The 25,544-nt window shown below is 48.8% G+C and overlaps 2 annotated features.

Annotated features, from left to right (window-relative positions):
• Positions 19,448-20,406: an enhancer, noted in NCBI's record as "OCT4-NANOG-H3K27ac-H3K4me1 hESC enhancer chr20:47215027-47215985 (GRCh37/hg19 assembly coordinates)". NCBI's record gives its function as "activates a minimal SCP1, AML or CMV promoter by ChIP-STARR-seq in primed H9 embryonic stem cells {active_cell/tissue: H9 hESC(primed)}" and the evidence as "EXISTENCE:reporter gene assay evidence [ECO:0000049][PMID:30033119]".
• Positions 24,710-25,004: a silencer, noted in NCBI's record as "tiled region #8803; HepG2 Repressive non-DNase unmatched - State 10:DNaseD, and K562 Repressive non-DNase unmatched - State 21:Repr". NCBI's record gives its function as "represses a minimal TATA promoter and a strong SV40 promoter by Sharpr-MPRA in HepG2 and K562 cells {active_cell/tissue: HepG2 | K562}" and the evidence as "EXISTENCE:reporter gene assay evidence [ECO:0000049][PMID:27701403]".

Genomic DNA, 25,544 nt, shown 5'->3' on the forward strand with positions numbered 1-25,544 from the left:
TCGTCATGGTCCCCCATGGAAACTACCTACTTGGGAGTGAAGCCAACACAGAGGACAGCAGAGCACAGAGATGGAGACGGACTGCGTCGTGGCCAGATTGTTGGAGCCCTGGAGCCAGCTGGGTCAGAAGCCCAATACGCCTGACTTCATTACATGGGCTGGGAGGTTTTCTTGTTTCACTTATTTCTGTTTGAACTGAGCTTCTGTCCCTTACAACCAGAGGAATCTTATTTATTTATTTATTTATTTATTTATTTATTTATTTATTTATTTATTTATTTTTTGAGACGGAGTCTCGCTGCCGCCCAGGCTGGAGTGCAGTGGCGCGATCTCAGCTCACTGCAGGCTCCACCCCCCAGGGTTCACGCCATTCTCCTGCCTCAGCCTCCCGAGTAGCTGGGATTACAGGCACCCGCCACCACACCTGGCTAATTTTTTGTATTTTTAGTAGAGACGGTGTTTCACCATGTTAGCCAGGATGGTCTCGATCTCCTGACCTCGTGATCCGCCCGCCTCGGCCTCCCAAAGTGCTGGGATTACAGGCCTGAGCCACCGCTCCCGGCCAACCACAGGAATCTTGACCAACAGAGCTCGGGGTTATTCTTGGGGTCACCTAAATGATGGGACCAGGCAGACCTATGGAAGAAACTGTTGCTTCACAAAGGCCGTGTCCTGTCTATCTGGGGACCAGAGGCTGCTGAGCAGTTTCTCCAGGAGGGGCAGGGCTGTGCAGAGTCCCCTCTCCCACCTTCAGGATGGCCTCAGGCTCAGGTCACAATGGGGAGCCACGGTGCCGAGCTCTCAGCCCCTCTTCCCAAGGATCATGCAGGGTCTGACCAATGAACTCAGCTGATCCCAGTCAGATGTGTCTGCAATTGGCAGTGGCTCCCTGGAGAGGGCAGGACTTGAGCCAGATGAAGGAAGGGAGAGGTATACAGAGCACATACCATGCTTGAAAAAATGGAATATGAGGGTGTGGTGGTGCAGACCTGCAGTCCCAGCTACATGGGAGGCTGAGGTGGGAGGATCACTTGAGCCTGGGAGGCCAAGGCTTCAGTGAGCCATGATTGCGCCACTGCACTCCAGCCTGGACAACAGAGAGAGACCCTGTCTCAAAAAAAAAAAAAAAAAAAAGTCGAATATGAGTCATTTGTCCAATGTCCATCCCCCTCCCCTCCCCGGGCCTGGATGCTCCTAAAGGTAGGGCTGGTGCACCTGCAGTTCACCCCTTCTAGGGTCGTGGCCTCCCAGAATCCAACTCAGATCCTATCCCTCCTCTGCTCAAGCCCTGCAGTGGCTCCCAACTCACTCAGAACAAAAGCCAAAGTCGGGGACCAGGCACAGTGGCTCACGCCTGTAATCCCAGCACTTTGGGAGGCTGAGGTGGGTGGATCACCTGAGGTCAGGAGTTCGAGACCAGCCTGGCCAACATACTAATCCCATCTCTACTAATAATACAAAATATTAGCCAGGCATCATGGTGCAGGCCTGTAATCCAAGCTACTCAGGAGGCTGAGGCAGGAGAGTCGCTTGAACCCGGGAGGCAGAGGTTTCAGTGGGCCAAGATTATGCCATTGCACTCCAGCCTGGGCGACAAGAGTGAAACTCCGTCTCAAAAAAAAAAAAAAAAAGCCAAAGTCCTCGCAATGGCACATGAGGCCTTAATCCACTGGTCTCACCCCACTGCCCTGTCAGCTTTCACCTCAGGGCCTTTGCACTTCCTTCCATCTTACAGGAATTCTCTACCCTAAGACATGCACGTTACTCATTTCCTCCCATTTTTACTCAAATGTCACCTTGTTAGTGAGGCTGTCCCCAGCCACCCCATCCACACTGCACACCCCATCCTCCCCTCCTGCTCTCTTTTTCTCCATGGCTCTGTCAGTCACTATTATTATATAAGTAATACACTCATTGATTTTTTTGTTTATGTCCCCAAATTAGGCTCTCAGTGCCATGAGGGCAGGGACCTTGGTCCACTTTCTCCTCTGTTCATAACGAGCATTTTCTAAATGGGAAATGAATGAACGAGCTCTGTCTTCTGGGCCCAGTGCCCTGATTGCCCCTTGGGAAGCCTCCGTCCTTTACTCTCAGTTCATGTGCTGCGGATGGGTGAACCCCACACCCAGCTCCACGCAAGGACAAGATCTAGCCCTGGCAATTGGCATATTTGAGGCCACTGGGTACAGCTGGGCAGCTGTCCCCCCACACAAGGAACTGAAACCCTTCCCACCAAGCCTTGTGTCCTGGCACAGAGCTGTTTCTCCTGAGAGGAAGGGGCACCCTTTTTCTAACTCACACCAAGGCACCCAGGGATAGCCCTGACCACGAGCAAATCCCATCACCTTGACTGCAGTGTTTGAATCAGGGACGGACATGGGGCCAGGTTGGCACATGCAGGGATGTTAAATCAGGTGAATCCTGTGAAGTCCTCAGGGGCCACCAGGAAGAGAAGGTCTTTCTTCTAGGGTTGCTGTGCTTGTAGGTAGCATCCCCCCACCAGCGAGGGAAGAGGCGGGAGCACCACTGCGTGGCTGGGAGAAACTAACTGGCTCCCTGGATCCAGCCCTACCCCAGGCTGGAACCATTCCTGGGATTTTTTTTTTTTTTTTTTTTTTTTTTTTTTGAGACAGAGTCTTGCTCTATCACCCAGGCTGGAGTATAGTGGCACAATCTTGGCTCACTGCAACCTCCGCCTCCTGGGCTCAAGCAATTATCCTGCTTCAGCCTCCCGAGTAGCTGGGATTACAGGTGCCCACCATCACACCTGGCTAAATTTTGTATTTTTAGTAGAGACAGGGTTTCACCATATTGGTCAGGCTGGTCTTGAACTCCTAACCTCATAATCTGCCTGCCTCAGCCTCCCAAAGTGCTGGGATTACAGGCATGAGCCACCAGGCTGGCCCGGGACTTTCAGTGCTATGAGCCCATCCATTCTGTTTTTGCCTAAACTGGCTGGGGTTGAGTTTCTGTCATTAACAACCACAGGATCCTTGTCTGACCCAGGAAGTGAGATAACAACACCCTGCAGGACAGCCATGTAGCTAAATTAGACCCTGCCCTTGAAAAGCACCGTGTCCTTTTTAAACACTTGAGGCATATGAAGGGCTGCTGGGGATGCTGGCAGCCTCCGACTTCATCACCTCCTTCCTCTGCCCAGGGCTGCTCCCCACAGGAGTCTGTTCCCCTCCCCAGTGCAGCCTCTGCCCCCTCCTCAAAGAAAGTTTCAGCACTCACAGCTCCTCTCTCTCAGCTGAGTGATTTTCTCCCTTCCTATTTTGTCATCTTGAAAGATGGCAAATTGGAGCACTTAATTTTCCCCCTCCAACCCAATTAATATGAAAGTGCACAGCGCTGATGTGCGGAAGCGAAAAGCAAATCATTTATATCAATTAGCAAAAATGAGCTTTGTGCAAACTCGCAATGAAGAATGATCTCAGAGACAGGAAGCCCAGGAGGGAAGCCTGGGAGGGACCCCCGGAGCCTCCTGAAGGAAGCGAGGCTTTGGGCGCAGTATCAGGATTGCATTTTGTCCCCTCTCCCTCCCACAAGGTCCCTGGAATCAAGAGACTTAACAGGTAAAGCCATGCTTCACTGTTCTCAAATTTCAACAAGACTCCCCACAGCAAGCTCCAATGCAAAGTCTTTCTTGTCAACGTGTGTCCTGAGTCAGCCCACGTTTCTCTACCGCCACTGCCTCCCTGAGCGGAGCCCCATCATCCATCATGGCCCCCCTGGGTAATGATAACAGCACCTCTCTCTCTCCAGGCTTCCACTCTGGCCGCCTTCAACCCACACCCACATTCATGCAATGTACACTGCAGTCAGATTGAGCTTTTATTTTTTTAAAATCTTCATTCATGTATGTATGTATGATGTATGTATGTATTTTTGAGACAGAGTCTTGCTCTGTTGCCCAGGCTGGAATATAGTGGTGCAATCTCATTTCACTGCAACCTCTGCCTCCTGGGTTCATGCAATTCTCCTGCCTCAGCCTCCCAAGTAGCTGGGACTACAGATGCCTGCCACCACACCTGACTAATGTTTGTTATTTTTAGTAGAGATGGGGTTTTGCTATGTTGGCCAGGCTGGTCTCAAACTCCTGACCTCAAGTGATCCTCCCACCTCAGCCTCCCAAAGTGCTGGGATTATAGATACCAGCCACCACGCCCAGCCAGACTGAGCTTTTAAAATACAAATCAAATCATGTCACCCTCCAGTGCTGAAACCATTGCTGTTAGAATAAAATCTAAACTCCTCATCACGGCACTCAGGGACCCACGTGGCCTGGCTTCTGCCGACCTCCCAGCCTCTCCCCTGGCTCCCTCCATTGCAGCCACGCGGGCCTCCTTGCTATTCCTTCACGTTGCCTTGCTCATTCCTGCCCTGGGCCCTTTGCACGTGCTGTTTGCCACATCTTTTCCTGGCTGCTCAGTTTTATCTTTCTCGCCTTGATTCAAACGTGACTCCCCCACCCAGGCGAATGTCACTGTCCTTGGTTGCTATGTATCCCCTTCACATCCCTTCAATCCACAGACACCTGGTAAACACCTTTCGTGTTCCAGCCACATTCAAGGCCCTGGGGATATGGCAACAAATAAGATGGACAAAAACCCTGTTTCATGGAGTTATATCCTGGTCCAGATGGTGGGAGAAGTGTACAAAAACTGCCAGCTGGGTAAAGAAGACAAAAAAAGATGCCAAATAATGAAAAGCGCTATGAGGAAAACGAAGACGGGAAGGGAGGCAAGGCTGTACTTAGAAGCCGGGTGGTCAGGGTGGGCTTCGCAGAAGAGGTGACACACAGGTGAAGACCTTAGCGGGAGGAGGGACTCCGTGCAGATGTCTGGGGGAAGAGTGCTCCGGGCAGAGGGAAAAGCAGGCGCAAAGGCCCTGGGGCCAGCCCATGCCTGTTGTGTTTGAGGAGCGTGGAGGAGGCCACCGTGGCCGGGGCAGAGTGAGTAGGGGAGGGGAGATGAGGTGGAGGCCAGGGGCTGGAGGCTACGGCTGGACTCTGGCTTTTGCTCTGGGTGAGGTGGGAGCTGAGGGAAGGTCTGGAGCAGAAGAGGTCTAAACAGAACCCCTCTGTGAGGATATCAACCATCAGGGCCCAGACAAGCACTGGTTCGGGAGCAGTGATGACTATGGAGTAGGTTTGCCGAAGGAGGGCCATGTTTCTTATCTTTGATTCTGAATGACTCTCAAGGATCGCACAGCGGAGAAACAGAGGAGAGGAGAGGTTTTAACTCTTCCCTGGGGGCTCCAAAGGGCTTTCTTGGGCTCTCTGCTTGCATTTTTTCATTCATTCACTTCAGACCTAGCAGAGGTTTTGGAGACAGATAAAGTTGGGTTCAATGGCCAGCTCCACCACTTCCTAGCTGGGTGACTTTGACCAAAGACCTTAACTTCTCTGGGCTTAGGTTGTCTCAGATGAACAATGGGGGTCAAACGGTACCACTTCCTTCTTCCTTTTTTCCTGCTTCCTTCTTCTGCTTCCCCTTCCTTCTTCTACGTCCCCTTCCTTCCTCCTTTCTTTCCTCCTTCCTTCCTTCTTCTTCTTCCTTCTTCCTCATTCTTTCCTTACTCTTTCCTTCCTTCCTTCTTCCTTCCCTCCTTCCTCCTTCCTTCCTCCTTCCTTCCTTCCTCCTTCCTTCCTTCCTACTTTCCTGCCTTCCTTTTTTTGTCATTAAACTGTTAACTTCTATGAGGACTGTGACTTGGATCTACGTTGCTTATTGCCCTATTTCCAGGGCCCAAGACCTTGCTTGGCACAGAGTGGGTGCTCCATAAATATCCATCAAATGGGTGAATCCCCGCGAGTCCTGAGCAGATGGAAAACACCTTGTCAGGGTCAGGGTTGGTTGGAGACTGGAGTAAATGCCAAATTCCAGAAACACAGATCCAAGTGGGGACAACAGATGTGTCTGCCAGGAACTGAATCACCCAGCAGAAAGTGACATGCGTCCCAGGCCTTGTTCTAAATTCCAAGAGGGCAAACAAACGTGCGTTCATGAAATGTTTGATGTCTGCCTGCAGCTCATGTGTAAGCTGTAGGTCAAATTTATGGGCCAGAGAGAGTCGTATTGCAAAGTGCTGTGTGTACACGTGTTATCGCACTGGGGCCACTTGTGTAATCAATATGCGCTATTCAGTCTCAGGGCGTATGTTCATTGTCTTAACTATGATGGAGGTGTAGCTCGGAGACTCTGTGCCAGGAGATCAGCAGAGCCTGGGGCCTCAAGGGGACTCCCTGCGGGGGAGAGGGACAGCCGTGTAGCAGAGTGACAATGAAGGCTTCTGATTTAATGTGCAGTTTCCAGGCCATGTGTCAGCCGTTCACGTGTGTGGTTTCATTGAATCCTCAGACAGCGCTTGAGGGACGGTCCTGGACTAATTCCATTTTACAGATGACAGCACTGCAGAACAGAGGGGTCTAGTGTTTTTCCCAAGGTCACACAGTTCTCAAGTTGCAGAGTAAAGACTTAAATCCAGCTGGGTGCAGTGGCTCACGCCCGTAATCCCAGCACTTTGGGAGGCCAAGGCGGGTGGATCAACTGAGGTTGGGAGTTCGACACTAGCCTGATCAACATGGAAAAACCCCGTCTCTACTAAAAATACAAAATTAGCTAGGCATGTGGTGGCACATGCCTGTAATTCCAGCTACTCGGGAGGCTGAGGCAGGAGAATCACATGAACCTGGAGGTGGAGGTTGCAGTGAACTGAGATCGCGCCATTGCACTCCAGCCTGGGCAACAAAAGCGAAACTCTGTATCAAAAAAAAAAAAAAGACTTAAACCCAGGTCCACCCTGACTGATCAAAAGCTAGGGTGCCCAACCCCCCCTGGTTTGTCTAGGACCGTCTCTGTTTGAAAACGTACAGTCCCACAACCTGGAAACCTGCGAAGATCCCAGGCTAAGAGGAACTGTTGTTGACCCTATGTAAGATCCATGCTTTGAACCACACAGTTACCCTTTGGTGGGAAAGCATAGAAGGCAGTGGTGAGGTTTTCCCAGGCGGTGTAAACTCACACAGAGGGACAAGAACCTGGGAAAGGAAAGGGTATGCTTGAGGAGTGGGGCTGTAACTGAGTATCCCAGCCTCAAAATGCATTTGGAAACTTTTTTCCTTTCTTGTTTTCAGCCTTGAAACATTCTTTGAAATGCTCTGGTATCCCTTTCCCACCAGGCGCTCCCGGGCACAGGGCTCGCTTATCTAACTGTGTGCTTGCTAAGAAATTCCAGAGGCTCATTTTGAAACAAACTGGGCAGAGAGACCAAGCTGTAGAATCATCCCGCTTAGGCGGAGTTATGAACCGTTAGCCCACCACTACCAGGCAGGAGCCAGGACGACACAAATCAGACCTCGAGATGGGCGATTGTTCGAGATGACCATCAGAACAAAACCCACAGCCCCGCACCCTCCTGCTCCACTCATGCTCCACCCCTGCTCCACTCCTGCTCCACCCCTGCAGGCTTCCTGCACTAAGTTTTCCTTTTTTTTTTTTTTTTTTTTTTGGAGACAGAGTCTCGCTCTGTTGCCCAGGCTGGAGTGCAATGGCGCAATCTCAGCTCACTGCAACATCTGCCTCCCAGGTTCAAGCAATTCTCCTGCTTCAGCCTCCTGAGTAGCTGAGATTACAGGCACATGCCACTATGCCCAGCTAATTTTTGTATTTTTAGTAGAGAAGGGGGTTCACCGTGTTGGCCAGGCTGGTCTCAAACTCCTGACCTCAGGTGATCCACCCACCTCGGCCTCCCAAAGTGTTGGGATTACAGATATGAGCCACCGTGACGGGCCCAAGTTTTCCTTCTTAAACTCCTCATTCAGCCCAAAAGGCAGAGATGACTTCTTTGAAGCAGAAGCCTGGCCGTCTTCCAGCTGCTTGTACTGGATCAATAAAAGTGCCTTCCTTCCACCACACCTCGCTACCGCTTCTCGCATTTTCTGCCTCTGAACAGGGAGCAGCTGGACTTCAGCCAATTAGAGAAGTGGCCATATTTCATTGGAATTTTTTAACTTTCCATTTTAAAGCAAGTATAGACTCATAGGAAACTACAAAACATATTACAGAGGGGTGGAGCCAAGATGGCCGAATAGGAACAGCTCCAGTCTATAGCTCCCAGCGTGAGCGACACAGAAGATGGGTGATTTCTGCATTTCCATCTGAGGTACCGGGTTCATCTCACTAGGGAGTGCCAGACAGTGGGTGCAGGACAGTGGGTGCAGCGCACCGTGCGCGAGCCGAAGCAGGGCAAAGCATTGCCTCATTTGGGAAGCGCAAGGGGTCAGGGAGTTCCCTTTCCTAGTCAAAGAAAGGGGTGACAGACGGCACCTGGAAAATCAGGTCACTCCCACCCTAATACTGCGCTTTTCCAATGGGCTTAAAAAACGGAACACCAGGAGATTATATCCTGCACATGGCTTGGAGGGTCCTACGCCCCCAGAGTCTTGCTGATTGCTAGCATAGCAGTCTGAGATCAAACTGCAAGGCGGCAGCAAGGCTCAGGGAGAGGTGCCTGCCATTGCCCAGGCTTGATTAGGTAAACAAAGCAGCCGGGAAGCTCGAACTGGGTGGAGCCCACCACAGCTCAAGGAGGCCTGCCTGCCTCTGTAGGCTCCACCTCTGGGGGCAGGGCACAGACAAACAAAAAGACAGCAGTAACCTCTGCAGACTTAAATGTCCCTGTCTGACAGCTTTGAAGAGAGTAGTGGTTCTCCCAGCATGCAGCTGGAGATCTGAGAATGGGCAGACTGCCTCCTCAAGTGGGTCCCTGACCCCTGACCCCCGAGCAGCCTAACTGGGAGGCACCCACCAGTAGGGGCAGACTGACACCTCACAGGGCCGGGTACTCCTCTGAGACAAAACTTCCAGAGGAACGATCAGGCAGCAGCATTTGCGGTTCACCAAGATCCGCTGTCCTACAGCCACCGCTGTTCTGCAGCCACTGCTGCTGATACCCAGGCAAACAGGGTCTGGAGTGGACCTCTAGCAAGCTCCAACAGACCTGCAGCTGAGGGTCCTGTCTGTTAGAAGGAAAACTAACAAACAGAAAGGACATCCACACCAAAAACCCTTCTGTACATCACCATCATCAAAGACCAAAAGTAGATAAAACCACAAAGATGGGGAAAAAACAGAGCAGAAAAACTGGAAACTCTAAAAAGCAGAGCGCCTCTCCTCCTCCAAAGGAACGCAGCTCCTCACCAGCAACAGAACAAAGCTGGACAGAGAATGACTTTGACAAGTTGAGAGAAGAAGACTTCAGATGATCAAACTACTCTGAGCTACAGGAGGAAATTCAAACCAATGGCAAAGAAGTTAAAAACTGTGAAAAAAAAATTAGACGAATGGATAACTAGAATAACCAAAGCAGAGAAGTCCTTAAAGGAGCTGACAGAGCTGAAAGCCAAGGCTCAAGAACTATGTGAAGAATGCAAAAGCCTCAGGAGCCGATGCGATCAACTGGAAGAAAGGGTATCAGTGATGGAAGACGAAATGAATGAAATGAAGCGAGAAGGGAAGTTTAGAGAAAAAAGAATAAAAAGAAATGAACAAAGCCTCCAAGAAATATGGGACTATGTGAAAAGACCAAATCTACGTCTGATTGGTGTACCTGAAAGTGATGGGGAGAATGGAACCAAGTTGGAAAACACTCGCAGGATATTATCCAGGAGAACTTCCCCAATCTAGCAAGGCAGGCCAACATTCAGATTCAGGAAATACAGAGAACGCCACAAAGATACTCCTAGAGAAGAGCAAACACCTCTACGCAAATAAACTGGAAAATCTAGAAGAAATGGATAAATTCCTCGACACATACACCCTCCCAAGACTAAACCAGGAAGAAGTTGAATCTCTGAATAGACCAATAACAGGCTCTGAAATTGTGGCAGTAATCAATAGCTTACCAACCAAAAAAAGTCGAGGACCAGATGGATTCACAGCCGAATTCTACCAGAGGTACAAGGAGGAGCTGGTACCATTCCTTCTGAAACTATTCCAATCAATAGAAAAAGAGGGAATCCTCCATAACTCATTTTATGAGGCCAGCATCATCCTGATACCAAAGCCTGGCAGAGACACAACCAAAAAAGAATTTTAGACCAATATCCTTGATAAACATTGATGCAAAAATCCTCAATAAAATACTGGCAAACCGAATTCAGCAGCACATGAAAAAGCTTATCCACCATGATCAAGTGGGCTTCATCCCTGGGATGCAAGGCTGGTTCAACATATGCAAATCAATAAATGTAATCCAGCATATAAACAGAACCAAAGACAAAAACCACATGATTATCTCAATAGATGCAGAAAAGGCCTTTGACAAAATTCAACAGCCCTTCATGCTAAAAACTTTCAATAAATTAGGTATTGATGGGACGTATCTAAAAATAATAAGAACTATTTATTACAAACCCACAGCCAATATCATACTGAATGGGCAAAAACTGGAAGCATTCCCTTTGAAAACTGGCACAAGACAGTGATGCCCTCTCTCACCACTCCTATTCAACATAGTGTTGGAAGTTCTGGCCAGGGCAATCAGGCAGGAGAAAGAAATAAAGAGTATTCAATTAGGAAAAGAGGAAGTCAAATTGTCCTTGTTTGCAAATGACATGATTGTATATCTAGAAAACCCCATCGTCTCAGTCCAAAATCTCCTTAAGCTGATAAGCAACTTCAGCAAAGTCTCAGAATACAAAATCAATGTACAAAAATCACAAGCATTCTTATACACCAATAACAGACAAACAGAGAGCCAAATCATGAGTGAACTCCCATTCACAATTGCTTCAAAGAGAAGAAAATACCTAGGAATCCAACTTACAAGGGATGTGAAGGACCTCTTCAAGGAGAACTACAAACCACTGCTCAATGAAATAAAAGAGGATACAAACAAATGGAAGAACATTCCATGCTCACGGGTAGGAAGAATCAATATCGTGAAAATGGCCATACTGCCCAAGGTAATTTATAGATTCAATGCCATCCCCATCAAGCTACCAATGACTTTCTTCACAGAATTGGAAAAAACTACTTTAAAGTTCATATGGAACCAAAAAAGAGCCCGCATCGCCAAGTCAATCCTAAGCCAAAAGAACAAAGCCGGAGGCATCATGCTACCTGACTTCAAACTATACTACAAGGCTACAGTAACCAAAACAGCATGGTACTGATACCAAAACAGAGATATAGATCAATGGAACAGAACAGAGCCCTCAGAAATAATGCCACATATCTACAACCATCTGATCTTTGACAAACGTGACAAAAACAAGAAATGGGGAAAGGATTCCCTATTTAATAAATGGTGCTGGGAAAACTGGCTAGCCATATGTAGAAAGCTGAAACTGGATCCCTTCCTTACACCTTATACAAAAATTAATTCAAGATGGATTAAAGACTTACAAGTTAGACCTAAAACCATAAAAACCCTAAAAGAAAACCTAGGCAATACCATTCAGGACATAGGCATGGGCAAGGACTTCATGTCTAAAACACCAAAAGCAATGGCAACAAAAGCCAAAGTTGACAAATGGGATCTAATTAAACTAAAGAGCTTCTTCACAGCAAAAGAAACTACCATCAGAGTGAACAGGCAACCTACAAAATGGGAGAAAATTTTCGCAACCTACTCATCTGACAAAGGGCTAATATCCAGAGTCTACAATGAACTCAAATTTACAAGAAAAAAACAAACAACCCCATCAAAAAGTGGGGGAAGGATATGAACAGACACTTCTCAAAAGAAGACATTTATGCAGCCAAAAAACACATGAAAAAATGCTCATCATCACTGGCCATCAGAGAAATGCAAATCAAAACCACAATGAGATACCATCTCACACCAGTTAGAATGGCGATCATTAAAAAGTCAGGAAACAACAGGTGCTGGAGAGGATGTGGAGAAATAGGAACACTTTTACACTGTTGGTGGGACTGTAAACTAGTTCAACCATTGTGGAAGTCAGTGTGGTGATTCCTCAGGGATCTAGAACTAGAAATACCATTTGACCCAGCCATCCCATTACTGGGTATATACCCAAAGGATTATAAATTATGCTGCTATAAAGACACATGCACACGTATGTTTATTGCGGCACTATTCACAATAGCAAGACTTGGAACCAACCCAAATGTCCAACAACAATAGACTGGATTAAGAAAATGTGGCACATATACACCATAGAATACTATGCAGCCATAAAAAATGATGAGTTCACGTCCTTTGTAGGGACGTGGATGAAACTGGAAACCATCATTCTCAGCAAACTATCACAAGGACAAAAAAACAAACACCGCATGTTCTCATTCATAGGTGGGAATTGAACAATGAGAACATATGGACACAGGAAGCGGAACATCACACTCCAGGGACTGTTGTGGGGTGGGGGGAGGGGGGAGGGATAGCATTAGGAGATATACCTAATGCTAAATGACGAGTTAATGGGTGCAGCACACCAACATGGCACATGTATACATATGTAACAAACGTGCACACTGTACGCATCTACCCTAAAACTTAAAGTATAATAATAATAAAATTAAAAAACAAAAAACAAAACAAAACAAAACAAAAAAAAGAATAATTACACATAGTGTCCGAATTTTAGAGGAACCAGGCACAGAGGAAAAAAACATGTTCCAAGTTTTGTTAAGAGGAGTATACTGATCGACAGTGTTAAAAGCTGTAGCTAGTTTAAAATAAAGTGTACCTGACTTTAAAAAACAAAACAAGAATTATAAATATTCTAAAATAAAGATAAATAGATTGCTTCCTTCTTTTGTTAGTTTAGTCTATTTTAACATTTGTCCTGCTTGATATTTATAAACATTTTAGCTATTCCTAAGTTCTGTTCATTTTTTCTGTTATAAAAAATTTTTTCTGTTATAAAAAATGTAAGAGTTGAGAACACCTGGTAAAGCTCTACAGCTAGTTATATGCTGTTTTTCTTGAGGAAGTTTAAACCTCTGTAAATCACAAAATATCTAGGGTGGTTAGAAACATAATAGACAAAGACATTTGGTTATTTCTGTGGTTTACAGGAGCTTAACATAATAATTTTAATTAAAATTGACAGCACATATTCAGAGATTAAGAACATTAAAAACCCCATGTGGTTTTGAGACCTGTGTTAATATTACTCAGGAAAATATATTCTGAAAAAATAAAATATTACCATCAAAATAAAAAAAAAAACATATTACAAAGAATCCCATGTAGAATCCCCTTTGCCCAGCTTCCCCCAACAGCAGTTCCCTAACCTTTTTGGTACCAGGCACTGGTTTGGTAGAAGACAATTTTTCCACAGACCAGGGGGCAGGGGTAGGGATGGTTTGGGGATGAACTGTTCAACCTCAGATCAACAGGCATTACTTAGATTCTAATAAAGAGCATGAAACCTGGAGCTCTCACATGTGGAGTTCACAATAGGGTTCCCGCTCCTATAAGAATCTAATGCCGCTGCTGATCTGATGGCCACTCACCTCCTGCTGGGCGGCCCAGTTCCCAGCAGACCACGGATCAGTACTGGCCCGTGGCCCAGGGGCTGGGGACCCCTGCTCTGACTGACTAGGCCTGGGTCATGTGTCCTCCCATGGAACCAGAATTAGGATCAGCCTGAAAGTGGGGGACAAAAGATTCTCCAAGTGAAACTGGGCTACCGTCACCAGAAGACAGAGGAGAGACAGATGCTTAATGGGCACCAACCCCAGATCCGGAAGGACTCTGCCAGTGTGTTCAGGACAGGCTGCAGGTGAGAGGTCAGCTATTGTCACTGGCCAGTCAAGAAATGAACAAGGTGGGGGCAATTGTCCGTTAGGCCCAGAGGGAGCAGTGCTTAGGGCTCATGGCACTTGTAGGAGCCCACACAAATATTTTCATTTCTTTGAAAATCAGGGCCAGGTGCGGTGGCTCATGCCAATAATCCCAGCAGTTTGAGAGGCCAAGGCGAGCGGATCAGGAGTTTGAGACCAGCCTGACCAACATGGTGAAGCCCCATCTCTACTAAAAATACAAAAATTAGCCGGGCATGGTGGCGGGTGCCTGTAGTCCCAGCTATTTGGGAGGCTGAGACAAGAGAATCACTTGAATCCTGGAGGCGGAGGTTGTAGTGAGCCGAGGTGGCACCACTGCACTCCAGCCTGGGTGACAGAGCGAGCTTCCACCTAAAAAAAGGAAAAGAAAATCAGAAGAAAAAGTGACTATACTTTAGCCTGGATTATATTTGCTTTTATGCCAACATAGTCATAAAATATAAGTTTAATTTATTTCTTTTTAGGAAGAAGGGGCCCAGGAAGATGGACACAGTAGCCCTAGGTATTTGCTTGGATATGGTGGACAGAGAGAGGCAATTAGGAAGTTTCCCAAATTTGGATCCTGGCACCTAAAAGGATGGTTTGGTCATCTGAAGGGGGATGGGTGAAGAACTGAGTCTCAGCCAACTTAGTTGCAGGTGCTAAGGCGAGGATAGGATTATAGCCTTTGGGGTTTGGATCCTAGATCTGTGAGCACCAGAGTGACCTTGGGCAAGGCCCTTTACCTCCCTGAACCTCTTGTTCCCCATCCATACAATGGACAGAATAACTGGCATCTTTTCTGGATTGTCATGGGGATTACACGAAGCATCACATGTGCTTAGCAAAGGGTTCAGCATATAGACGGTGTCTAACAAATGGAGTCTGGGTATTAGATTTGGGAGACCTCAGAAGAGAATTTGATAAAGAGATTAGGACCAGAAATGAGATGACCTGAAGCTGTGAGCAAAGAGGGATTGTGCAAGAAAGCAGTTGAGGAGAGACAAGGAGGCAGAGGTCCCAGGACATGAGCCACTGAGGACCCTAGGAGGGAGACAGTTAGCACAGGTGGTAAGAAAGGAGGTGTATCCTGGCCTCAGGATCTTGAAAGCAAAGGGAATGATGGGCATCAGGAAGCTGGAGGTTATTACCAGGGTCTGAGTGGTGGAGAAAGGTTCTGGGGGAAAGAAAGATAAAATCGATATCTGTGCTTTTGTCTGAGCAGTTTCTAAGCCCCATCCTTTTCATTCATTCACTTGTTCATTCATCTATGCATTCTTTCAGCCAGCAAATATTTACTGGGCCTGGAGTGGTGGTTCATGCCTGTAATCCCAACACTTTGGGAGGCCAAGGTGGGTGTATCACTTGAGTCCAGCAGTTCAAGACCAGCCTGGCCAACATGGTGAAGCCCCATCTCTACTAAAAATACAAAAATTAGCCGGGCGTGGTGGCGGGTGCCTGTAGTCCTAGCTACTTGGGAGGCTGAGACAGCAGAATCACTTGAATCCTGTTGAACATGGCGAAATCTTGTCTCTACAAAAATTAGCTGGGCATGGTGGTATGTGCCTGTAGTCACAGCTATTTGGGAGGCCAAGGTGGGAGGATTACTTGAGCCTTCGACGTGGAGGTTGCCGTGAGCTGAGATAGCACCACTGCACTCCAGCCTGGGCGACAGAGTGAGACCCAGTCTCCAAAACAGACAAAAAAAAACCCACAAAACAAATAGTTACTGGGATCATTTCATTGTATGTTGGTCACAAGGTCACCACTTATGCAGTCTCTGCCACAGGGCCATCTGGAGCTCTCCTGGTTCCCACCTGTCCCAAGTCTGCTTCTCAGGCTTAGCTGATCATCTGAGCCTCCTTTCTGCATCCAGTAAACCCCATCGGCCTCAGTGAGCCAGATCCAGTTTCTGTTGCTGGAAACCAAAGAACCCGACTGGATAGCTCCCCCCCACACACAGTGCATGTGTTTTGTAGGGGAATGACTCCTACAGTCTACTTCAGGGTGGGCATGTCGCCTAAGCCAGGCCAATCAGAGCAGCCAACAGTCAGTGGGCCTCACTCTAGTTTACTGAGAGTCACTGGGATATTGCTGGAACTCTCACAAGGGAGAAAGTGTCTTTCCACTGGGCTTTGCTGAGCTGGTAGGATAGCAGACCAGAGTTGATGGGGGCCATCACCATCACTGTGAGGGAAGAGCTTTCCAGGGGATGAAGTCAACAGCAAAAATCACAGATGAGAAAGGGAGACAAATGCTTCATAGTATCACTAGAGCTCCTAGATCCAGCCTCTCCTGAAACCCCTAGACTTTCCCACTGCTGGGCCAATGATGTCCCATTTTGACTTAAGTCAGTGGAATTGGGCTTACATCCTTTGCAATCAAAACACGCTTCTGTTTAACACAGAGACTACAACACCCTGAAACAAATTGCAATCTCCGCATTTCTTCATGGACAAATGGTGTAACTAACTAAATGTGAGAACGCAGCGCACAGCAGTGCCTCCGTACCTGTCACTCACCTTTCAGTCCCCTAGGAGGACTCAGGCATGAGCTTGCCAGCCAGAAAAAAGGAAGGAAGCTGCAGGCTATTTCTCAAATTCACATTCCAAGGTGAACAACAGGAGCCTCACCTCCCCCTGCTCGCTAAACTCACACACATTCCCACATCAGCTTTTCATCACAGTATCGGGCCACCCAAAGTATTCCAAAATAGACCATCTAAATTCTAAGAAGACAAGCAAAGCCAGTGTTAATGAAATGTATAATGCCTGTTGTAGCTCACAGGTTAGTTTTACATCAAGTTTATGGGCCTGGAGCAGTACATTTATAATGTATGATGTGTGCATGTTTACTACATTGGCGCACCCACATATAATCAACGTGGACTAGAGATTTATGGCCATCTTTATAAGACTTGGAGTATAATTTCATTACTTTTAAATATTTACAGAGGCTGAAAGTTGTAACTTTCCTTTTATGGCGTAGTGTGGGATACTGTGGTCCTGTCTGTGATGTGTTTAATACTCAGTCCTCATTTAGAAAAACCCCGAGGACAGCCCTGGGCCTTTTGGGGACAAGCAGCTCTCTGAGGACCCCACAGGAGGCCCTGGGGAGGAGGAGGAGTTCTGAGCAGACATGAACCCCAGTGGGTGGGCGGGCAGGTCTGTCTCAGGGCTCAGAGGAGACCCTTCCCTGTGACCCAGAAGCTCAGAGGAGACTCCTGGGAAGAGGCAGGACTGGGCTGAGCCTGGAAGGGCAAGTGGGGCCTTAGGAAGGGAGCAGCTGGGGGGCGGGGCTTCCCAAGAGAAACCACATGATGCTGTGGTCGACGTCCCCAAGCTCTAAGTCACTCAGGTTTCATGCTGTTGTGTCTCCATAAATCTTCCCCAGACAGAGTAGAGAAAGAAGGACAAAGCATAAATCCACAGAAGTTGGACGATCCTTATTTTGGGAGGGAGAGTCTAGGTCAATGTCTGGTTCTGGATGCATGGTTGTAAGCAGGAACTGTAGGGAGGCACTGGTGACATGGGTGGGATCAATACGCAGCTCTCTCCAAAGGATCTGAGTGAACCCATTGAAAAAGACCCCTCCCACATCCCAGTGGTTTCCACAGTGACGAAAGGAGACTAAAGGTTGTGTGTGTGTAAATTAGCAGCAGAGTCAGCTGCAAGTGACAATAAACCCATTATAAATGTGCCTTAGGGAAGACATAAAATGATTTGCCTCTGTGGTAAGCAAAGCCCAGAAGTAAGTAGCCAGGGCTGATGGAATAGCTTCACTTGGAAAAAGGATTCAGGCACAAACCAGTTATTCAGTCAAGCACAACGCATTACACACCTCATAATTCAATATGGCTGCTTGAGCTCCAGCCATCACACTCACATTCCACTTAGCAGTGGGGAGGGAGGTGCAGAAACATGTGTTCCTGTTCCCTGAAGACACTTTCTGGAAATTACACATGGCCCTTCTGTTCCTGTTCCATTGACAACACCTTAATTACACATTCACATATATAATCGCAAGGGAGGCTGAGAAATGTAGTCATTATTTTGGGTAGCTATGTGCCAGCTGAATTCTTTCTTCCTGAAAGAGGAAAGGGAGAACAAAATTGGAGGAAGTCAGCAGTCTCTTCCATTCTGTACATGAATGTTTGCACAGGTGAGGCCCCTAGGTGTATTGTGGGAATGTGTCCACACCTGTGTTGGAAGCATTGTTCACCATCAGTTATTAAGCATCCACTCAAGAAATTCTGCTGTGTAAGAAAATGCATGGATAATAAATGCATATGGGCCATGGATTCTATGGAAATAAATATATGTATACGAATAGATATGGGTATAAGTGTAATTGTGTATGCTCATGCTCACATATGTATTCCCTAATTTGCTTATTTATTCAGCTAGTATTTCCTGAGCCCCTACTATGTGTCTGGGACTGTTTCACACACTTGTGATTTAGCATGGTAACATGGCAGTCAAGGTCATTGATCTCATGAAATTTAGTCTATTGGAAGAGATGGACAAAACCCAAGTACATGAATAATCAAGTAAGATAATATCATCATGACATTTGTGTAATGAAGAAAATAAACAGTGTGGTGCTTTAGGGATCAATGGGGAGAACAGGGTGCACCCATGACGGACAGGAGGGTTGTGGAGGGTGTCCCTGAGGAGGTGACATTGAAGAAAACCCATCGGCCCAGGTACCGCCAGGCATTTGTTTCCAGCTCACTCCCCTTCTCAGAGCTCCAGGCGCTGAGCTCCAGATGCCACCAAAGTTTATTCTGCCCCAGGTCCACGTGGCCCAAGGGAAGCTCCTGTTTCTCTTGCACAACCTGCCCCTCCCTCCCTCAGGCTGCCTCATGCAGCCCGTGGATGCACTATGTACTGAATGCTGGAGGGGCTGGGTAAGGAGCAGTCCAGGCAGAGAAAGCAGCAGTGCAAAGTCCCTGGGGCAGGAAAGACAATCCTCTAGTGGAGGATAGAAAGGAGGCCAGGGCACAGCCAGCCCCAGGTGACCCTGAAATGAAGGAGCCAGGTGAGCCCCAACACCACCCTGCTGACCTCCCACTGGGACTCCCCACTGGGGGGACACATCAAGAATCAGAAGCAAGGGAGCCTTGTGGTGTGGGCCACCTGGTCAGCCTGCAGGTCACAGAGAAGGGGAAGGTGGGGAGAGGACCCGGAGGACAAAGGGCAGTCATGTGGCACAGGCTGGGGCCAAGGCCGGGGCGCTGGCATTCATTCTGAGTCAGGTGGGAAGCCGTGGGGGCAGCAGGCAGAGAGATGACAAGGCCTGACTTGCAGGTTTAAAGTGTCCTGTCTTTGCCATGGAGACAGTAAACTGCAGAGGCCCCGGGTGGAGGCATCTGCGGTGACCCAGGGAGAAGTGATGGGGGCTCTGCCTAAGTGTGGACAGGGCAGGTGTGCAGAGGCGGCCTGCCTTGGGTCAGAGTGGAAAAGCCACACTGAGGGACTCCAGGTGGCTCTCAGGTCTGCCTTGAACAGTAGAGTGACAGCCCCGTCCCTGGACAGAAGCAGCCTGAACGTCTGAGCAAATGGCGGGATCCAGACCCTGCTGGATGCTGGGGGTGAGAGCTGGAATGGGACAAACAGCCTCTCGCCCTGGGCCACCTCCAGAAAAGTCCACCTCGGGCCTCAGAAGGTGCAGACAGCGGGAATGAGCGAGGTGCCCAAGGGTGGCCCCGCGCCAGGGCACCGCTGTCCTCACATTTTCTTTCCCATCCATTAGGAGGAAATGCACTGGGGCCACAGCCGGCTTCCTGCTGAGAAATCAATGGCTCATTAGAGTTCACCTTTGCTTCCCCTCTGCCCTCAGGCTATTAAAACTGGCCAGGACAGAGCAAGACTCAGCCTACCCAGGAAGGACAGCAGGCCCCGCCCCTCCTGCAAGGCCACTCCAGCCAGGGCAGCAGCTCTGTCCCCAAGACCCCCCGGCAGCCTTGCTGAGGGCCTGGCCCCGGCCCTGGCCCTGGCCCTGCAGAAAGGAGACCACGTCAGCCTGGAGTGGAGCAGGCGCAGCTGTCCTGCATCCCCAGTTCAAATCCTGTCTCCACCACTCATGGGACCTGTGACCCTGGGAGTCACTTCCCCTCCCTGGGGCACAGCCTCCCTGTCTGTAAAATGAGGTTTACCATGAGAGTATCAGCGCTCCTCTTGCAACCAGAGGCTCCACTGGTTTGAGCAGAGAAAGCAATAGATTAAAGGGTTGTCAGGGGCTTTGGAAACTCTGCGAGGACAGAGAGACAAGTGTGGGGGGCTATGCAGGCAGCAGGACATAGGATCCCTGGCAGGACTGATCCCTGGGGATCCAGCATTGCTGCTGTGGCCACAGATACCGCAGCCTGCACCCTGACACCCACCCAGGGGCCACGGTGCAAATTCCTCCCCCACACTCAGTCCAGGTGGTTCAAGCCCCTTCTCCGCACAGAGATGTCACGTGACCTGGGTCTGGCCAGTAAGATCCGTAGACTGTCTGGGCCAATGAACGTCACCCCAAGGTTGTGCCAGACTCACTGGGAAAGAGCCCAGTTTCTGCTGAGGGTGCTAAGTTGGAGGATGGAAGCCTGGCTGCTGGGGACCTGCCTTGCCACTACCTGAAGGGCCAGTCTGAGAACTCCACTGACACAGAGGGAAGCAGGGCTGAGAGATGGAGAGAAGGCACCCTAGTGACACTGTAAGAGCCCCTGGATGCAGCTGTGCCTGAAGCCACATTGTGAATGTGGAACAGCAAACCAGACATTTTTGTGTCTTTGTTCTTGGTTTTGTTGCAGTCCTTGATTTGGGTTCTGCCACTTGCAGCCGAAAGATCAAAAAATAATACAAGAAAACACCTGGCATGCCATAGGTCAGTGTTAATTCCAACACTGGGGGAGGAGGGTGTTAGAGGTGAGCAGTGGAGGTGAGGAAAGGAGAGAGATGAGAGCCCCATGCACTTCTTACCCATATCCTCAAGGTGATGGGATTCCACCATCTGTGACATGAAGACCTGGGGCAGGGGTCCGGGCACTGCAGGGAGGGGCCCTCCATTCTCATCAGCTCCTCTCCCCTCCCAGAGGTGAGCAGACATCCTCCCAGGGGACCCAGGGTCCTGATGTGGAGTGTGTCCAAGGGAGTTTATCGGAGGGCAGGGAAGGGACCCCAGACATCTGCTTCCAACTGTTGCCCTGTTCTCTGTGCCAACAGCCCACCCAGGGCAGCAGCGTTGTGGAATCTTCTTCCCACTCACACCTGGAGAAAACGCCTCATGGAGATATGGGCAGAGCCTGGTATTTGGCACCAAACACACCTGAGTGCCTGATACCCTCTGTCACTCACTGGCTGTGTGACCCCAGGCCGGTCACCTCGCCCTCCCAGCCTCAGTTTCCTGGTCGGTGGAATGGGGGTAATGGTAACATAGATTAAGGGAGGCTTAAGGGAGTCGACATGTATGAAAGTGCCTGGTACATGGCAGGTGCTTGGAATGTGCGCCCTGGTTTTTCCCTCCTGCCAAGAGGCCTGGTGGGTGCAGGAATGACAACTGAGTCCACATCTGCCCTTGGTCAATTAAACAAAGTGGCTCGGAGCGTGAAATGCAACTCCTGGTCTGTTTTCAGGACTCAATAACCATTCGTGTGGCCATTATCACCATCGTCACCATTGTGATTGTTATGGGTTGTGGAGACGCACACCTGACATGCTGACTTGGGGAGATCTGGGCACTGATCAGAAGCGTGTTTATGTGAGGTGCTCATAGCCTGTGATGGTCAGGGAGAGCCTTCCAGAAGAGGACCTGAAGTGGCATCCAAAGTTCATGGGGGCTTGGGTGAGGTAGGGAGTGCTGAGGAACAATAGCTCTAACACACGTGCAGCTGCTGCTTATCGATGCGTTCACTGTGGGCAGCTGGGGCCTGGGTGCTCCAGGTGCCTGAGCTCATTCAATCTCCACAGCCCCAGGAAGTCGGTGTGAGTTTGATCACCCACATTTGAGGCTGAGGCAGGAGAACTGCTTGAACCCAAGAGGTGCAGGTTGCAGTCGGCTGAGATCGTGCCACTGCACTCCAGCCTGGGCAGCAGAGCAAGACTCTGTCCCAAAAATAAAAAAACGGTTACTGATGAGGCAAGTGAATGGCAGACAGGTTAGTAACTTACCCAAGGTCACACAGCAATGAAGTGGCAAAGTGGGGATCTGATCTCAGACAGCTGCGCCCAGGAGTCCACCCTCTTGAACCCTACGCTGTGCTGTCACTACGGTGGCTCTTCCTCGTATCCTCTCCCCGTGATTTTAAGACGCACTGAATTTTTAAGGACAGCATTAACTTGACATTGAGGGAAGATTTTCCGCCTTGTGGCCCATCCACTGCCATGCTCTTGCAGTGTGAGGTCACCGCACCCCACCATCACACGTGTGCCAGTCTGCATTTGTCACCCACCTGCATTCCCTGTCCTGCTGTGAGGTGTGACCACCTGATGGCCCCATTCCAGTGTGTTCATCCTCAGAGATGTCAAGAAAGCAGCTGGGTGCAAACGAGTCCTATTTAGAGACCAGATGAGGCCCATCTCAGCCCACCGCTCAAATGGGGAAAATGTACCTTCGTTATTTTCTAAAACTTCACTTAGTCTTGGCAGCATTAGAGCAAGCTGGTTGAAGCATAGACTCTGGATCTAGAATGCCTGGTTTGCATCCACTTCCTCCCAGCAGTGTGACCCTGGCCAAGTTTACTGGAACACACTGTTTCTCCACTGAGCATGCTGTGCCTCAGTTTCTTCATCCATGTTGTGGGGATAACAGAATCTTTCCTTAGTATGGCTGAGAAGATTAAAAACTCTTTCCCATAAGAGTACTTAGATCAATGCCTGTAATGATAGATCTTATTATTTCTATTTGAGTCAATATTCTGCACGGGCAGTGGAAACGTAATCTTAGACAATTTGGGATTGATGCTTTCCCTTTTCTGAGTCTTTACCTGGTACCAGGTGACAGCAGGGACCAACATGGTGCCCAGGCACCACCTCCCAGAGCCAGTACTTGCTGGGACATCCATTCTTCAGCCTGGATCATGAGTGTCAGCTCAAGTGGTTGCCACGGAAGTGCTCCTTGTGGCTGAATGATGGTCCTTCCTGCCAATCTCTACTACTTCAGTGTTGCTTGAGGCACATGTAAAACACCTCATAGATCCTGCACCAGGGGAGGGAGGTGAAGGGCAGGCACTCCGCCACCCTCAGGACCCGACTGCCAATCCAGGAGTTACAAACGCAGATTTCTAAAGGGGTGGGCAAATGACCTAAGTGGGTAGATGGGCTAGCGGGGCTGCAGAAGAGCCCTATGTATAAGGGTGGCCACTTCTCAGCTCTGCCAAGCAGTTGTATAAGGGAAGGCAGACCCTGTAGAGCTTTTCTGTTTTTAAAGAAGCCAGAGTCGTTTGTGTGAAATAACCTATTAAAAAAAAAAATTGGCAAAAAAATGTTCAAAGAACCATGTGAAGGCAAACATATTGGAAAGGAAGAAATGAAACTATCCCTATTTGCATTCGACACACTTGTCTATATAGATAATTCCAGCAAATCTCAAAAACAAAAATGAAACGAACTCCTCCTAGAACCACTAGAACTAATAGTGAGATTAGCAAGGTCGACAAAGAAAAATCAATCATATTTCTGTACGATAATCACGTATGATTAGAAAAAAAATTAATACCACTTGAAAAAGATTCCCAAAAATGAAATACTTAAGTATAAATCTAACAAACATGTACAGGATTTGTATGCTTTAAACTACAAAATATTGATGAAAGAAATCAAGGAAGACCTAAATAAATGGAAATACATACCATGTCCATGGATTGTAGCAGTAAAGATGGAGGACAAAAGCAGTCAAGATGTCAGTTCTCCCCAAGCTGATCTTCAGATTTAGTGCAATGTTAATAAAAATGCCAGCAGGAATTTTTATACGTACAAACTTATTGTAAAATGTACAGGCAAAAGCAAAGAAACTAGAGTAGAAAAAGAACAATAATGTCAGAAGCATCACCACCCTACTTAGACTAACTGTAAAGCTGTAGTATCAAGACTGTGGTATTGATGAAGGAATTCATACATAGATCAGTGAAGGAGAATGAAGAGCCCAGAAACAAACCTACACAAATATGGGCAGTTGACTTTTAACAGCGGTGCAAAAAAAGCCAATCAATGGAGAACAGGTAGTACACTCAACAAATGGTGTTTGAACAACTGGTCATCTACATGCAAAAAAAACAAAAACAAAACTGAACCTCAACCTATATCTCACATCTGGTGCAAAAATTAACTCAAAATGTATCATAAATCCAAATGTAAAACACAAAATTATAAAACTCCTGCTCCTCCAGTGGAAGGCTGCTTAGAATAAGAAAGCTAAATCAGGGGCGTGGGGGGATGGGGATGATGAATTTCCCGCTCACCTAAGTATGAGGACCAGACTCAGTCCACAGTCTGACTAATGCTCATAGTTCAGGCCTGGGATGTCCCTGAGGGTGGGAACAGGGCCCATTCCCTCCCTGCATCCCCAACACCCAGGGGTGGATGTAAGCTGCCTCTTTGTGGCCTCTGCCAGGTAGGGGGTCAGGAGGCTGCATCCTTCCCTGGCCCTGGGAGCTGGAACAGACTGCTGCCCCCAGCCCCCTGCCCCCAACAGCCTGGGGCCCAACAGCTGCTGGGTAATTCCTCAGCCCCTGGCATGTGTCTGCCCAGACTCCGTAATCCCCAGACCTCCACGGGCTCAAGTGTCAGTTGTGCCTGATCAGAGAAGGAGGGAGGAGGAGGGGCGGAGTGATGCAGAGGAGGAGACAAGGGAAGGGAAATACTTGGCGGCCCTGGGAAATCCACCCCTGCAGCAGCTGTGAGGACTCATGGTGCACTGAGATTGGCCTCCCCACCAAATCCACAGGTATTTATGGAGGGCCCGCCGCAGGGGTCACAACTGGACGTCCCAGACTCAAATGCAGCCCACGGGCATTTGCAAGGGCCGGGCATGTTCAACACACCCAACACTCAGTAAGTTAGGACAGACACCAGCAATGCCCGGTGGGTGCTCACTGTGTAAATACGTGCCCTGGGCATGTGCCCTGTGGCTGTGCCCTGTGGTCCTGCCCTCATTTGCCTGCTGCAGATCCTGGCACCCACGTGCTATGATTGATGAGGCTCTTGTCAGAGCCACTTGAGGAGGCCTGTGTGCACCCACCAGCCAGGACATCCAGGAAGCCAGTCACAGCCCTAGTTCTAAAAGCCCAATTCTGGCCTTCCAGGAAGCTTCAGCCGACAAAGTATTGATCAGCCCATTGGATGATAGGAGCCTTGAGCTGCCCAGGTTCCTGCAAGATTCGGTGATCCTCGGTTCCAGGAGCCCGTCCTCCCAGGGCGGAGAAGAGCATCCCGGGGCTTCTGCAGGAGGCAGGAGGGTGGGCTTCAGGGCACACACAGAAGACCCCAGGGCAAGTCAGGACCCAGGGCTGTGCTCTGCCACCATCTTGGCCCTAAAGTAGGCATTCTTACTTTCCACCCTTATTACAGGTAATGAACAGGACCAGCCCTTTAGTCTCCCTGACGTACAAATACCTGGAGGCCCTGTAGGGCTCTGGCCTCAATTTCAGCCCTGCTCCTGCCATGGACTCCCAACAGCCTCCACTGATGGCAACTCTGTGCCCACCCTGCACCCAGCTCTCGGCTCACAGTGCCCTCTTCTTCTTCCCAGCGTCTCCCCAGG

The sequence above is a fragment of the Homo sapiens genome, chromosome 20 (assembly GCF_000001405.40).
Source record: "Homo sapiens chromosome 20, GRCh38.p14 Primary Assembly".
In the NCBI taxonomy this organism is placed as follows: domain Eukaryota; kingdom Metazoa; phylum Chordata; class Mammalia; order Primates; family Hominidae; genus Homo; species Homo sapiens.